At 43.0% G+C, this 12,243-nt stretch overlaps 1 protein-coding gene across 20 annotated transcripts in view; it reads left to right on the forward strand.

The window, feature by feature from the left end:
- Window positions 1-12,243, forward strand: part of IL12RB2 (interleukin 12 receptor subunit beta 2) — a 91,361-nt gene that overhangs the window by 71,398 nt on the left and 7,720 nt on the right. For 12 of the 20 annotated variants that reach the window (XM_011541384.3, XM_006710617.3, XM_005270827.3 and 9 more), the window contains 3 exons: window positions 1,225-1,362; window positions 7,818-7,908; window positions 11,268-11,367. In XM_011541384.3, the coding sequence (XP_011539686.1) occupies window positions 1,225-1,362; window positions 7,818-7,908; window positions 11,268-11,367 (329 nt within the window). Of the gene's footprint in view, window positions 1-1,224; window positions 1,363-7,817; window positions 7,909-8,353; window positions 8,447-11,267; window positions 11,368-12,243 lie in introns of all 20 variants that reach the window. The other 8 variants (XM_017001203.2, XM_047419669.1, XM_047419668.1 and 5 more) reach the window with 4 other exon arrangements.

Here is a 12,243-nt window from a genome sequence, read left to right on the forward strand (position 1 = left end):
ATTGCTTGAATTCGGGAGGCGGAGGTTGCAGTGAGCCAAGATCGTATTACTGTACTCTAGCCTGGGTGACAGAGCAAGACTCTTCTCAAAAAAAAAAAAAAAAAAAAAAAAATGTTAAGTGAATGTCTGTTTCATTAATTGTTAAACTTACATAGGCTGGGTGTGGGGGCTCACGCCTATAATCCCAGCACTTTGGGAGGCTGAGGTGGGCAGATCACTTGAGGCCAGGATTTCAAGATTAGCCTGGCCAACATGGTGAAACCCCGTTCTACTAAAAATACAAAAATTAGCCAGGCATGGTGGCACACACCTGTAGTCCCAGCTACTTGGGAGGCTGAGGCAGGAGAATTGATTGAACCTAGGAGGCGGAGGTTACAGTGAGCCAAGATCGTGCCACTGCACTCTAGCCTGGGCGACAGAGCAAGACTCCATCTCAAAAAAAATACAAAATACAAAATTTCATAACTGGCCGGACGCAGTGACTCACACTTGTAATCCAGCATTTTGGGAGGCTAAGGCAGGCAGATTACTTGAGGTCAGGAGTTCGAGACCAGCCTGGCCAACATGGTGAAACCCCATCACTACTAAAAATACAAAAATTAGCTGGGCATGGTGGCACATACCTGTAGTCCCAGCTACTTGGGAAGCTGAGGCAGGAGAATTGCTTGAACCCAGGAGGCGGAGGTTGCAGTGAGCCGAGATCGCATCACTGCTCTCCAGCCTGGGCGACAGAGCAAGAACCTGTCTCAAAAAAAAAAAAAAAAAAAAAAGTTCCATAGCCTTGAAAACAATTTGTAAATTTAACATTTCTCCTCCAGAACTCCCAAATAAGCCTGATAAATACTAGAAATGTTATCATCATTGGAAATAAAGGGAGTTAACTTTAGCTAAATATTTTCAAAAGCAAAATAACAAAAATTTATTCAAAAGATTTTACCACAAAACACAAAAAAGAGAAAAGAAAATTAGAAAATAAAGTAAAAATAAAAGATTTTACTACAAAAAAATAATTTGTTTAATATGCTGTGGAGTGAGATGTCCATAAATGACGATGTCTAGGGCCTATTAAGGTATTAAGTACTGAGGAATTTGGACTATTTTAAAATAGCAAAATGCTTTTTCCTTCCAAATTAAATGAAGCATTAAAGAGTAAGAATGAGTAGAAGCCTACATTAAAAGCCATATCCTTTAATACATGCCTTTCTTCCTTTATCTTCCTTTCAGAAATTCCCTACAGAGTCTCCCAAAATTCACATCCAATAAACAGCCTGCAGCCCCGAGTGACATATGTCCTGTGGATGACAGCTCTGACAGCTGCTGGTGAAAGTTCCCACGGAAATGAGAGGGAATTTTGTCTGCAAGGTGAGAGGCAGTGTTAAGGATGATGAGTCCACCCTGGATTCTTGCACAGGCATGCACTCCTATTACATTTGGTATAGAGATAATCAGATTTTCTTTAATTCACTAAAAACTTTCTTGCTGTCACTTTACACTTGCTGTTTCTCCTAAATAGAATGCTTTACCACTCTACTATCTTCCTGGAGACAATGTCTACTCATGTTTCAAAATTTATCGGAAATCCTTCCTCCTTCAGGAAGCCTTCCCAAATGCTCCTTACATAATGCACTTACATTTAACTCCTACTCAAAACTCTGAATCCTGTAGGCAAGGATTGATATCTGTTTACCTCTGTCTTCAAGGCCTAGCATGGCGGCCAGCACACAGTACTCGCTTACTAAGTATCTGTACACAAATGATGAGAATCACATCAACAATAATAATAGCAGCTATTGCATATGCAACAGTCATTCTGTTAAGCGCTTTGTATACTACATTAATTTGCTGGGGCTGCTGTAACGAAGCACCACAAACTGAGTGGCCTAATCAACAGAAATCTATTGTCTCACAGTTCTAGAGGCTAGAAGTCCAAAATCAAGGTGTCAGCAGGGTTGGTTCTTTCGGAGGGCTATGAGAGAGAATCTATTCCAGGCCTCTCTCCTCTTTTCCAGTAATTTGCAGGCAGTCATTGATATTACTTGGCTTGTAGGTCTCTGCTTTCATCTGGCATTCTCCATGTGTCCAAATTGTCTCCTTCTTATAAGGACACCAGTCATATTGGATTAGGGGCCCACTCTACTCCAGTATAACTTCATCTTAATTATATATGCAATGATCCTAATTTCAAATGAGGTCACATTCTGAGGCTGGGGGTTTAGGACTTCAACATACAAATTTGAGGATCACCCAGTTCAACCTACAACACATACTTTTGCTAATATTTCCTTACCAAAATTACATGGTTATACCTACCCCATCCTACCAGACACTCAATATGAAATGAATTTAAAAATGAAGGATTATCATGCCTTTTTTAAAGTGAGGGGACTAAGGTACAGAAAGATTACCCAAGGTCATGGAAGTGGTAAGTGGCAGAACTACAAATCAAACTCAGATTTGAGTTGCTTAAATTAAATTTGAGTCTGATGAATAAGTGACCCAGCTAGCATGGGCTTCCCTCCACCAGCTAAGTTACACTGTTCTCTCTAGCAATGCTCATTTGCATCTGCTCTAAGCATAAAACAAGCTGTTCTTGCTTTGTGACATGAAGCATCAAGTTGATCATTCAAGAGACTTTGTTGTTCTATGCCAGGAAACTCTCCACTGGGAAATTGACAAGACTTCTTCTTATCTCCCCAGCACTCCCATGAAAGTTAACTTGCAGCTGGGCACGGTAGCTCGTGCCTGTAATCCCAGGACTTTGGGAGGCCGAGGAGGGCGGATCATGAGGTCAGGAGATCGAGACCATCCTGGCTAACACAGTGAAACCCCGTCTCTACTAAAAAAATACAAAAAAATTAGCCGGGCATGGTGGCGGGCGCCTGTAGTCCTGGCTACTCGGGAGGCTGAGGCAGGAGAATGGCATAAACCCAGGAGGCGGAGCTTGCAGTGAGCCGAGATGGCACCACTGCCCTCCAGCCTGGGCGACAGAGTGAGACTATGTTTCAAAAAAAAAAAAAAAAAAAAGAAAGAAAGTTAACTTGCTCGATTAATGTGGATTAAGGACTCAGACAAAAATTAGGTGGGAGCGGTGGTACATGCCTGTAATCCCAGCTACTTGGGAGGCTGAGGCAAGAGAATCACTTGAACCCAGGAGGCAGAGGTTGCAGGGAGCTGAGATCGCACCACTGCACTCCAGCCTGGGTGACAGAGCGAGACTCTGTCTCAAAAATAAAAAAAAATAAAAACAAAAAAGGACTCAGCATCTTGCTACTGGTTTTACTCCAAACTTGTTCCATCTGCCCAGAAAGGAAAGCAGATGCTGAAGAAACGTGAGATTTGGCCAAGTGCCGTGGCTCCCACCTATAATCTCAGCACTTTGGGAGGCCAAGGTGGGAGGATTGATTGAACACAGGAGTTCCACACCTGCCTGGGCAACATAGCAAGACCCCATCTCAATTAAAAAAGAAAGGAAGGCCAGATCCTCCTGATTGTATGGGGTAGAAAAAAGGTTACCTCCATTAACTTCCCTATTCAGCCCTGTTGACACTTCTCATGGGTCCTAACAGGTCTCTGGCCTCTAGCTCCTCCTGCTCACTCTCCCTCCCAGCCTGTTTTTCATTCAATCAGAAGAGGAGTCTTTCTGCAAGACTGCAGATGCTGGCATTACTTCTCTTGTTGTAACTCATCAGTGGTTCCCCAGGGGCCTTCAAGCTAGAACTCAAAACTCCATACTTGCCAGGTACACATGGTCCTGTTTACCCATCTAGTTTGATCCTTTGCCACACACTTCAGCATTCATTATGGAGCAAGACCAGACTTTCTGCAGTCGCCTGAAAGTACTGGCTGTTCCCTCCTTCCATGCCTTTGCATAGTTTTTTTTTTCTGGTCTGGTCTTCCTTTGTTAGCTTATCCATTTAGCTGGCTCCTATTCATCCTCCAACTCTACATTTTTTTTTTTTTTTGAGACAGGGTCTCACTCTATTGTCCAGGCTGGAGTATAGTGGCATGATCATAGCTCACTGCAGCCTCAAAATCCTGGGCCCAAGTGATTCTCATGCCTCAGCCTCACAAGTAGTTGAGACTATAGGCTCCTGCCACCATGCCCAGCTAATCAACTCTAAACTTTTGACATTGTGCCTTTTGCAAAACCTTCCTCTGCTACTTGTGAGCCAGTTTTCCATGCTGTTCTCTGCTACACTGCTGTGGACATTGCATATACCCCTGTTTTCATACATATCCCATGTGAATTAGTCTGTTCTCACGCTGCTATAAGGACATACCTGAGACTGGATAATTTATAAAGGGAAGAGGTTTAATTGATTCACAGTTCCACAGGGCTGGGGAAGCCTAAGGAAACTTATAATCGTGGCAGAAGGGAAAGCAAACATGTCCTTCACAAGGTGCCAGGAGAGAGAAGAATGAGAGCCAAGTGGGGGAAAGGCCCCTTAGAAAACCATCAATTCTTGTGAGAACTCACTCACTATCATGAGAACAGCATGAAGATAACTGCCCCCATGATTGAATTACCTCCCCGCAAGTCCCTCACACCACATGTGGGGATCATGGGAACTACAATTCAAGATAAGATTTGGGTGAGGACACAGCCAAACCATATCATCCCACTCCTGACCCCTCCCAAACCTCATGTCCTCACATTTCAAAACACAATCATGCATTTTGAACAGTCCCCTGAAGTCTTAGGCCATTCCAGTAATAGCCCAAAAGTCCAAGTCCAAAGTCTCATCTGAGACAAAGCAAGTCTTTTCCACCTATGAGCCTATAAAATCAAAAACAAGCTAGTTACTTCCTAGATATAAAGGGGGTACAGGCATTGGGAAAATACACCCCTTCCAAATGGGAGAAATTGGCCAAAACAAAGGAGCTATAGGCCCCATGCAAGTCCAAAATCCAGTAGGGCAATCATTAAATCTTAAAGCTCCAAAATGATCTCCTGCCTAGATCCACTTAAGCCTAGTGTTCCATTATTGGAATGCTAAGCATGTGGGAGTTGTTTATATCCTACTGCTCAAGGTCATTGCCAAGGTCAGATTTTTCACTCATGCAAAAATTCAAAAAATTGCAACCTCAGGCATAAATAGGTTAACTCCATGTCTCACATTAGGTCATGCTGATGCAAGAGGTGGGCTCCCACAGCCTTGGGCAGCTCCACCTCTGTGGCTTTGCAGGGTACAGCCCCCTCCCAACTGCCTTCACAGCTGGCATTGAGTGTCTGCAGCTTTTCCAGGTGCATGGTGCAAGCTGTCAGTGGATCTACCATTCTAGGGTCTGGAGGACAGTGGCCCTCTTTTCACAGTTCCACTAGGCAGTGCCCAGTGGGGACCCTGTGTAGGGGCTTGCACCCCACATTTCTCTTCCACACTGCTCTAGCAGAGGTTCTCCATAAGGGCTCCGCCCCTGCAGCAAACTTCTGCCTGGGCATCCAGGCACTTCCATACATCCTGTGAAATCTAGGCAAAGTTCTCCAAACCTGAACTCTTGACCTCTGCACACCCACAGGCCCAAAACCACATGGAAGCTGCCAAGGCCTGGGGCTTGCACCCTATGAAGCAACGGCCTGAGCTGTATGTTGGTCCCTTTTAGCCACAGCTGGAGTGGCTAGGATGCAGAGCACCAAGTCCCAAGGCTGCATACAGAAGTGGGGGCCCTGGACCCAGCCCTGAAAACCATTTTTCCCTCCTAGGCCTCCAGGCCTGTGATGGGAGGGGCTGTCATGAAGGTTCCTAACATGCTCAGGAGATATTTTCCCCATTGTCTTGGTAATTAACATTTGGCTCCTCATTACCTATGCAAATTTCTGCAGCCAGCTTGACTTTCTCCCCAGAAAATAGGGTTTTCTTTTCTATTGAATCATCAGGCTGCAAATTTTCCAAACTTCTATGTTCTGCTTCCTCTTGAATGTTTTGCTGCTTAGAAATTTCTTCTGCCAGATATCCTAAATCATCTCTCTCAAGTTCAAAGTTCCAAAGATCTCTGGGGCAGGTACAAAATGCCACCAGTCTGTTTGCATAGCAAGAGTAACCTTTACTCCAGTTCCCAACAAGTTCCTTGTCTCCATCTGAGACCACCTCATTCTCAACTTCATTGTCCACATCACTACCAGCATTTTGGTCAAAGTCACTCGACAAGTCTCTAGGAAGTTCCTAACTTTCCCACATCTTCCTATCTTCTCAGCCCTCCAAGTCTCTAGGAAATTCCAAACTTTCCCACATTTTCCTGTCTTCTTCTGAGCCTTCCAAACTGTTCCAACCTCTGCCTTCATCCATTTCCAAAGTTGCTTCCACATTCTCAGGTATCTTTACAGCAGCACCCCACTCTCTATGGTACCAATTTACTTACTATATTAGTCTGTTCTCATGCTGCTATAAGGACATATCTGAGACTGGGTAATTTATAAAGGAAAGAGGTTTAATTGACTCATAATTCAGCATGGCTAGGGAGGGCTCAGGAAACTTACAATCATGGCTGAAGGGAAAGCAAACACATCCTTCTTCACAAGGCAGCAGGAGAGAGAAGAATGAGAGCAAAGCAGGGGTAAAGCCCCTTATGAAACCATCAGATTCTTGTGAGAACTCCCTCATAGCATGAGAAGAGTAGCATGGGGTAACTGCCCCCATGATTCAATTACCTCCCAGTGGGTCCCTCCCACCACATGTGGGGATTATGGGAATTACAATTCAAGATGAGATTTGGGTGGGCACACAGCCAAACCATATCACCATGGCATTATGGCTTATTGTTTACATGTTCACACATCTGTATCCTATACTACATTCATGACTTCTTTAGACAGCAGAGCCATGTCCTATTTATCTTTGTATCCCAGCACCTAACAGAGCCTGTTACCTGGTTACTACTCAGCGAGTGCTGGATGAATTAATGGCCAATTCCAATAAGTAGTAAAATGCTGTAGTTCTTTTCATAGGAAAGAATAGGCACAATTTCAAACATTTCAAACATTTCACAATCACCCTAGCTAGATAAAGGCTTATGCTATACTTTGCTAAAATTAATAGCTACTGTTTCTTGAGGACCTCCTATATTCAGACACACTGCCATGTGCTTTAAATATACCATCTCTGATCTTCATGACAACCAGCAAGGTACATGTCACCATTCGCATTTTATAGATCAAGAAACTGAAGTCCAGGCCGGGCACGGTGGCTCACGCCTGTAATCCCAGCACTTTGGGAGGCCGAGGCAGGCAGATCATGAGGTCAGGAGTTCAAGACCACCCTGGCCAATATGGTGAAACCCTGTCTCTACTAAAAATACAAAAATTAGCCGGGCGTGGTGGCACACGCCTGTAGTCCCAGCTGCTCGGGAGGCTGAGGCAGGAGAATCGCTTGAACCCGGGAGGCGGAGATTGCAGTGAGCTGAGATTGCGCCATTGCACTCCAGCCTGGGAGACACAGTGAGACTCCATCTCAAAAAAAAAAAAAAAAAAAAAAAAGAAGGAAATAAACTGAAGTCCACAGATTACACATCTGCTAGCGGCACAGCCAGGACTAAGACAAGGCTCCCAATTCACAACTGTACTTTGCATTCCGTACCTCCTTTCTTTCTGACCCTGTGAGTCGGAGGAGCCCTGTAGGGCCAGAGCTCCTCTTGGAACCATAGAATTGGTCCCCTTAGGGTCCCATTTCCCGCACTGCATAGACAAAAGTGAATTTACCTTATTCTTGAGCACAGCTGCCCAGGAACTGTGGGTAAGGCCCAGAGGGCGCATACACCAATCAGGATTTTGAAATGTTCATTGGTGATAACTCACTCAGTCACAGGATTTCCTAACTTTTCAGGTAAAGCCAATTGGATGGCGTTTGTGGCACCAAGCATTTGCATTGCTATCATCATGGTGGGCATTTTCTCAACGCATTACTTCCAGCAAAAGTGAGTTGGTTACACCTACCAAGTGGGTAAATGAGGCTTTTAAAAAATGATAATAGCTGTTGCTGCCATGGGTCAGGGAAATGGACACTCTCACACATTCCTGGTGAGAGACTAAACTTATTTAACCACTTTGGGTGACAGTATGTGTCAAATCCTTAAAAATATATCTTTTGATCTAACAATCTCTAACTAGAAATGTATTTTATATATATATATATATATATATATATATATATATATATATATATTCTTTTTTTCCCCCAAAAAAATTTTTTTGAGACAGAGTTTCACTCTTGTCGCCCAGGCTGAAGTGCAATGGTGTGATTTTGGCTCACTGCAACCTCCGCCTCCTGGGTTCAAGCAATTGTCCTGCCTCAGCCTCCTGAGTAGCTGGGATTACAGGTGCCCACCACCATGCCCAGATAATTTTTGTATTTTTTATTAGAGACAGGGTTTCATCATGTTGGCCAGACTGGTCCCGAACTCCTGACCTCAAGTGATCCACCTGCCTCAGCCTCCCAAAGTGCTGGGATTACAGGTATGAGCCACTGCACCAAGCCTATTCTATTATAGATGTCTGCAGATATTTAGTGGAAAATATGTTCACTGTAATAATTTTCAGAAAAGAAAAATATTTGAGACAACCTAAACGCCCAATGATAAGGGATTGGTTAACTAAATCCTGATATATCTTGTACTATAACATATTATGTGTCCATGAAAGATGATGTAGAAATTAAATAGTATGGCAGGCCGGGCACAATGGCTCACACCTGTAATCCCAGCACTTTGGGAGGCTGAGGCGGGCGGATCACCAGGTCAGGAGATGGAGACCATCCTGGCCAACATGTTGAAACCCCATCTCTACTAAAAATACAAAAATTAGCTGGGTGTGGTGGCACGAGCCTGTAGTCCCAGCTGAGACTCAGGAGGCTAAGGCAGGAGAATCACTTGAACCTGGGAGGTGGAGATTGCAGTGAATCGAGATTGCACCACTGCACTCCACCCTGGCAACACAGCAAGACTGTCTCAAAAAAAAAAAAAAAAAGAAAGAAATTAAATGGTATGAACAATATTTACCATGTTCCATTTAAAAGGCAGCCTGCCAAACAATACGTACTTTCATTTCTTAAAAATAGTGCATACACACAGATGCAAATGTAAGATATATCAGTTAGCATTAAATTTGGTTATATATAATATAAAAGTCAAAATAACATGACTGAGGCTGGGCGCCGGGGCTCATGCCTGTAATCTCAGCACTTTGGGAGGCTGAGGCAGGCAGATCACCTCAGGTCAAGAGTTCAAGACCAGCCTGGACAGCATGGTGAAACTCTGTCTCTACTGAAAATACAAAAATTAGTCAGCCATGGTGGTGCACACCTGTAGTCCCGGTATTCAGGAGGCTGAGGCATGAGAATCACCTGAACAGGAGGCAGAGGTTGTAGTAAGTTGAGATTGCGCCACTGCACTCCAGCCTAAAACGGCAATAAGAACAAAAAAAACACTGTGGTCTTTCCTTTGAGGTAGAGCTGCAAGAAAAGAAAACAAAACTGTGGTACTTCAGCCAAGTGCATTGTCGTCCTAGTAAATCTGGGTCCTCTTCCTAAGAAGGAGGGGAAAATGAATATTGGGTGGCAATTACTCTGTGCCCCAAGGATATAAACCACAATATTTTTGTTTTGTTTTGTTTTGAGACAGAGTCTCACTCTGTCGCCCAGGCTGGAGTGCAGTGGCATGATCTTGGCTCACTGCAGCCTCTGCTTCCTGGGTTCAATCGATTCTCCTGCCTCAGCCTCCTGAGTAGCTGGGACTACAGGTGCCCGCCACCACGCCCAGCTACTTTTTGTATTTTTGGTAGAGATGGGGTTTCACCATGTTGGCCAGGCTGGTCTCAAACTCCTGACCTCATGATCCACCCACCTCAGTCTCCCAAAGTGCTGGGATTACAGGCGTGAGCCACCGCACCCAGCCTAAACCACAATATTAATGGTGTTTATATCTGGGGATATAATTGTAGGTGATTTTAGTTTTTCTTGTTTAATTATATTTTTAGAATTTCCTTAGTAAACATGTATTATTTTTCAAAGAAAAGATTTTTAATGAGTTGGTTATTCAATACAAAGTTTTCTTCAAATGCTGTGTAAAGTAAGAGAAGAGGTCTTTTGACCTCTAACTCAAAGTCATTCTACCAGCCATTGAACTTGTCTAACAGGCTGTACATTTATTGAAGATCTAATGTGTGATAGATACTTCAACGTGAAGCTCTCTTTGGGTAGACTTTGAAAAAGTTTAATTCAAAAGGAGTCAACTAGGATCACATGCATCCTCTTCATGGAAATTGTGAAGATCAGTTACAGTGCAGGCTAAACTGCCTTAAAAAAAAAAAGAGGACCCAAAGCACAGTGGCTTAAATAATACTTTATTTATCTTCCATATAACAGCCCTGAGGTAAGGTATCCAGACTGGTGGGCAGCTGTGCTCCATAGTTATTTGTGGACTCAGTTTTCTTCCATCTTTTTGGCATACCATCCCTTAGGTATTGTCCTCATCTGCATGATCTCTATGAGATCACAGACACTTCTGCTCATATTTCTTTGGAGAAAACCTAGTCACATGGCCACATCTCTTACTTCAAAAGGTTAGACAAATTGTAAAGCATACTTTTAAAAAAAAAAAAAAATCAAAGCTTATGAAAGCCAAGTCTTTAAAAATGTTTCATATTGTTCATGAACTTTAAAAAAAATAAGTCACATGCATTTATAAGAAATGTTTTTAGGATTTTTCCTTCTACATCATAAAAGACCTGTATTTCCTCTTATTGCCAAATACAATCACTGTTAATAGATATTTCAGATATTTCCCTATAATACTTTTTTCTTGGCATTTTTAACATGGTTGTGTTCAAGCTATTTATACCATTTTGAATCCCGTCTTTTTTTCAACTGTTCACATAATTTACCTGTCATTACAAACTCTTTGTAAATATTCTAATTAGCTAAATAGTAAGGGTAGGGAACATGTCATCTTCAATGCTTGGCAGGTAGCATTGTGCTGGTCACATATTAGGGGTTCAATCAATATTTGTTGAATGAATGCATAGCTGGCTAGTGATAGATTGCTAAATATTAGGTTGATCAAAAGTTCCATGGTTTATTTAGCAAACCTCAAGTGGCTGTGTTGTAATTTTACAGAAAACTACCGTAGTCTTGGATGATAAATCATCTTTGTCTTTCAGTGTTTATCTTTTATTTGCATACAAAAGCAGCCCTTACACTGAAGTTACTGCACTGAGAACCTGTGCTTCCATGCCACTGTGTGCACACCTAAGGAAATGTCACTGTTTTCTTTATCTATAGGGTGTTTGTTCTCCTAGCAGCCCTCAGACCTCAGTGGTGTAGCAGAGAAATTCCAGATCCAGCAAATAGCACTTGCGCTAAGAAATATCCCATTGCAGAGGTAAGGTACAATTCCTCTGTGGTCAGTCAGTGGAGTTCTAGTGATCACCACATCTAAGTTTTCCATTGTAGTTACGAGGAAGCCTGGGTGCTGAGATCCTATGGTTGAGCTTAAGTTATTCACGCTTGGCTACCACTGAGTCATCATTCTCATTTTAATTCCTGAACTTAAGAGAAACCAGGCACAGGAATCTTCTGAAGTTTATGATCATAAGACTAAAACCCCCTAGCTTTTTATACCTCAGTATGCCTCACTTTCCCCTTCTCACCAAACTGCTCTCCTGTTCTCCTCACCTAACTTATTTCAAAAGAAGAAAGCAAACTTTCCTTTTTTTTTTTTTTTTTTTTGCCATTTGTTGAGTACTAGCCTGAGCATTGAGTCATCCAAAATTCAAGAGAATTGAAGATTTTGATTTTCCTGTCTAAGCATAGAAAAGATAAATAGAACCCATACTATTTTGGTTTGGGCAAGAAGCCAGTACATCATTCCATTGTGCAAAGAAAAGGTTTTAAAGGAGAGGTTGATCAGCTGGCAGATGAGAGAGGGGAGAGTAAAGGAAGTGAAGGGAACTGCTGCAGCCCAGGAAAGAAGGTGAGAAAGCTCACAGTGGGCAAGATGGGCCATCCCTGGTGGAGGGTCTGGAAGTTGAAAGTATCTGAATATGAAGACTACATTTAAGGGGAGAAATAGGAGAGAGAAGTGGCAAGTCAATATTCCTCCCATCACCTGGGGCTTTGACAACTCCAGGCTCCCTTTCCAAGACCTTATAACACTCCTTGCTCAAGATGCTTCTCTCCAACTACCGAGTATGTTCTGTCATCCACACCCTTCCTCAGGCCAGAAGCCAGTGGTCCATAGTCCCAACCTCCACTCAAA

Source organism: Homo sapiens, chromosome 1, assembly GCF_000001405.40.
Source record: "Homo sapiens chromosome 1, GRCh38.p14 Primary Assembly".
Lineage (NCBI taxonomy): Eukaryota > Metazoa > Chordata > Mammalia > Primates > Hominidae > Homo > Homo sapiens.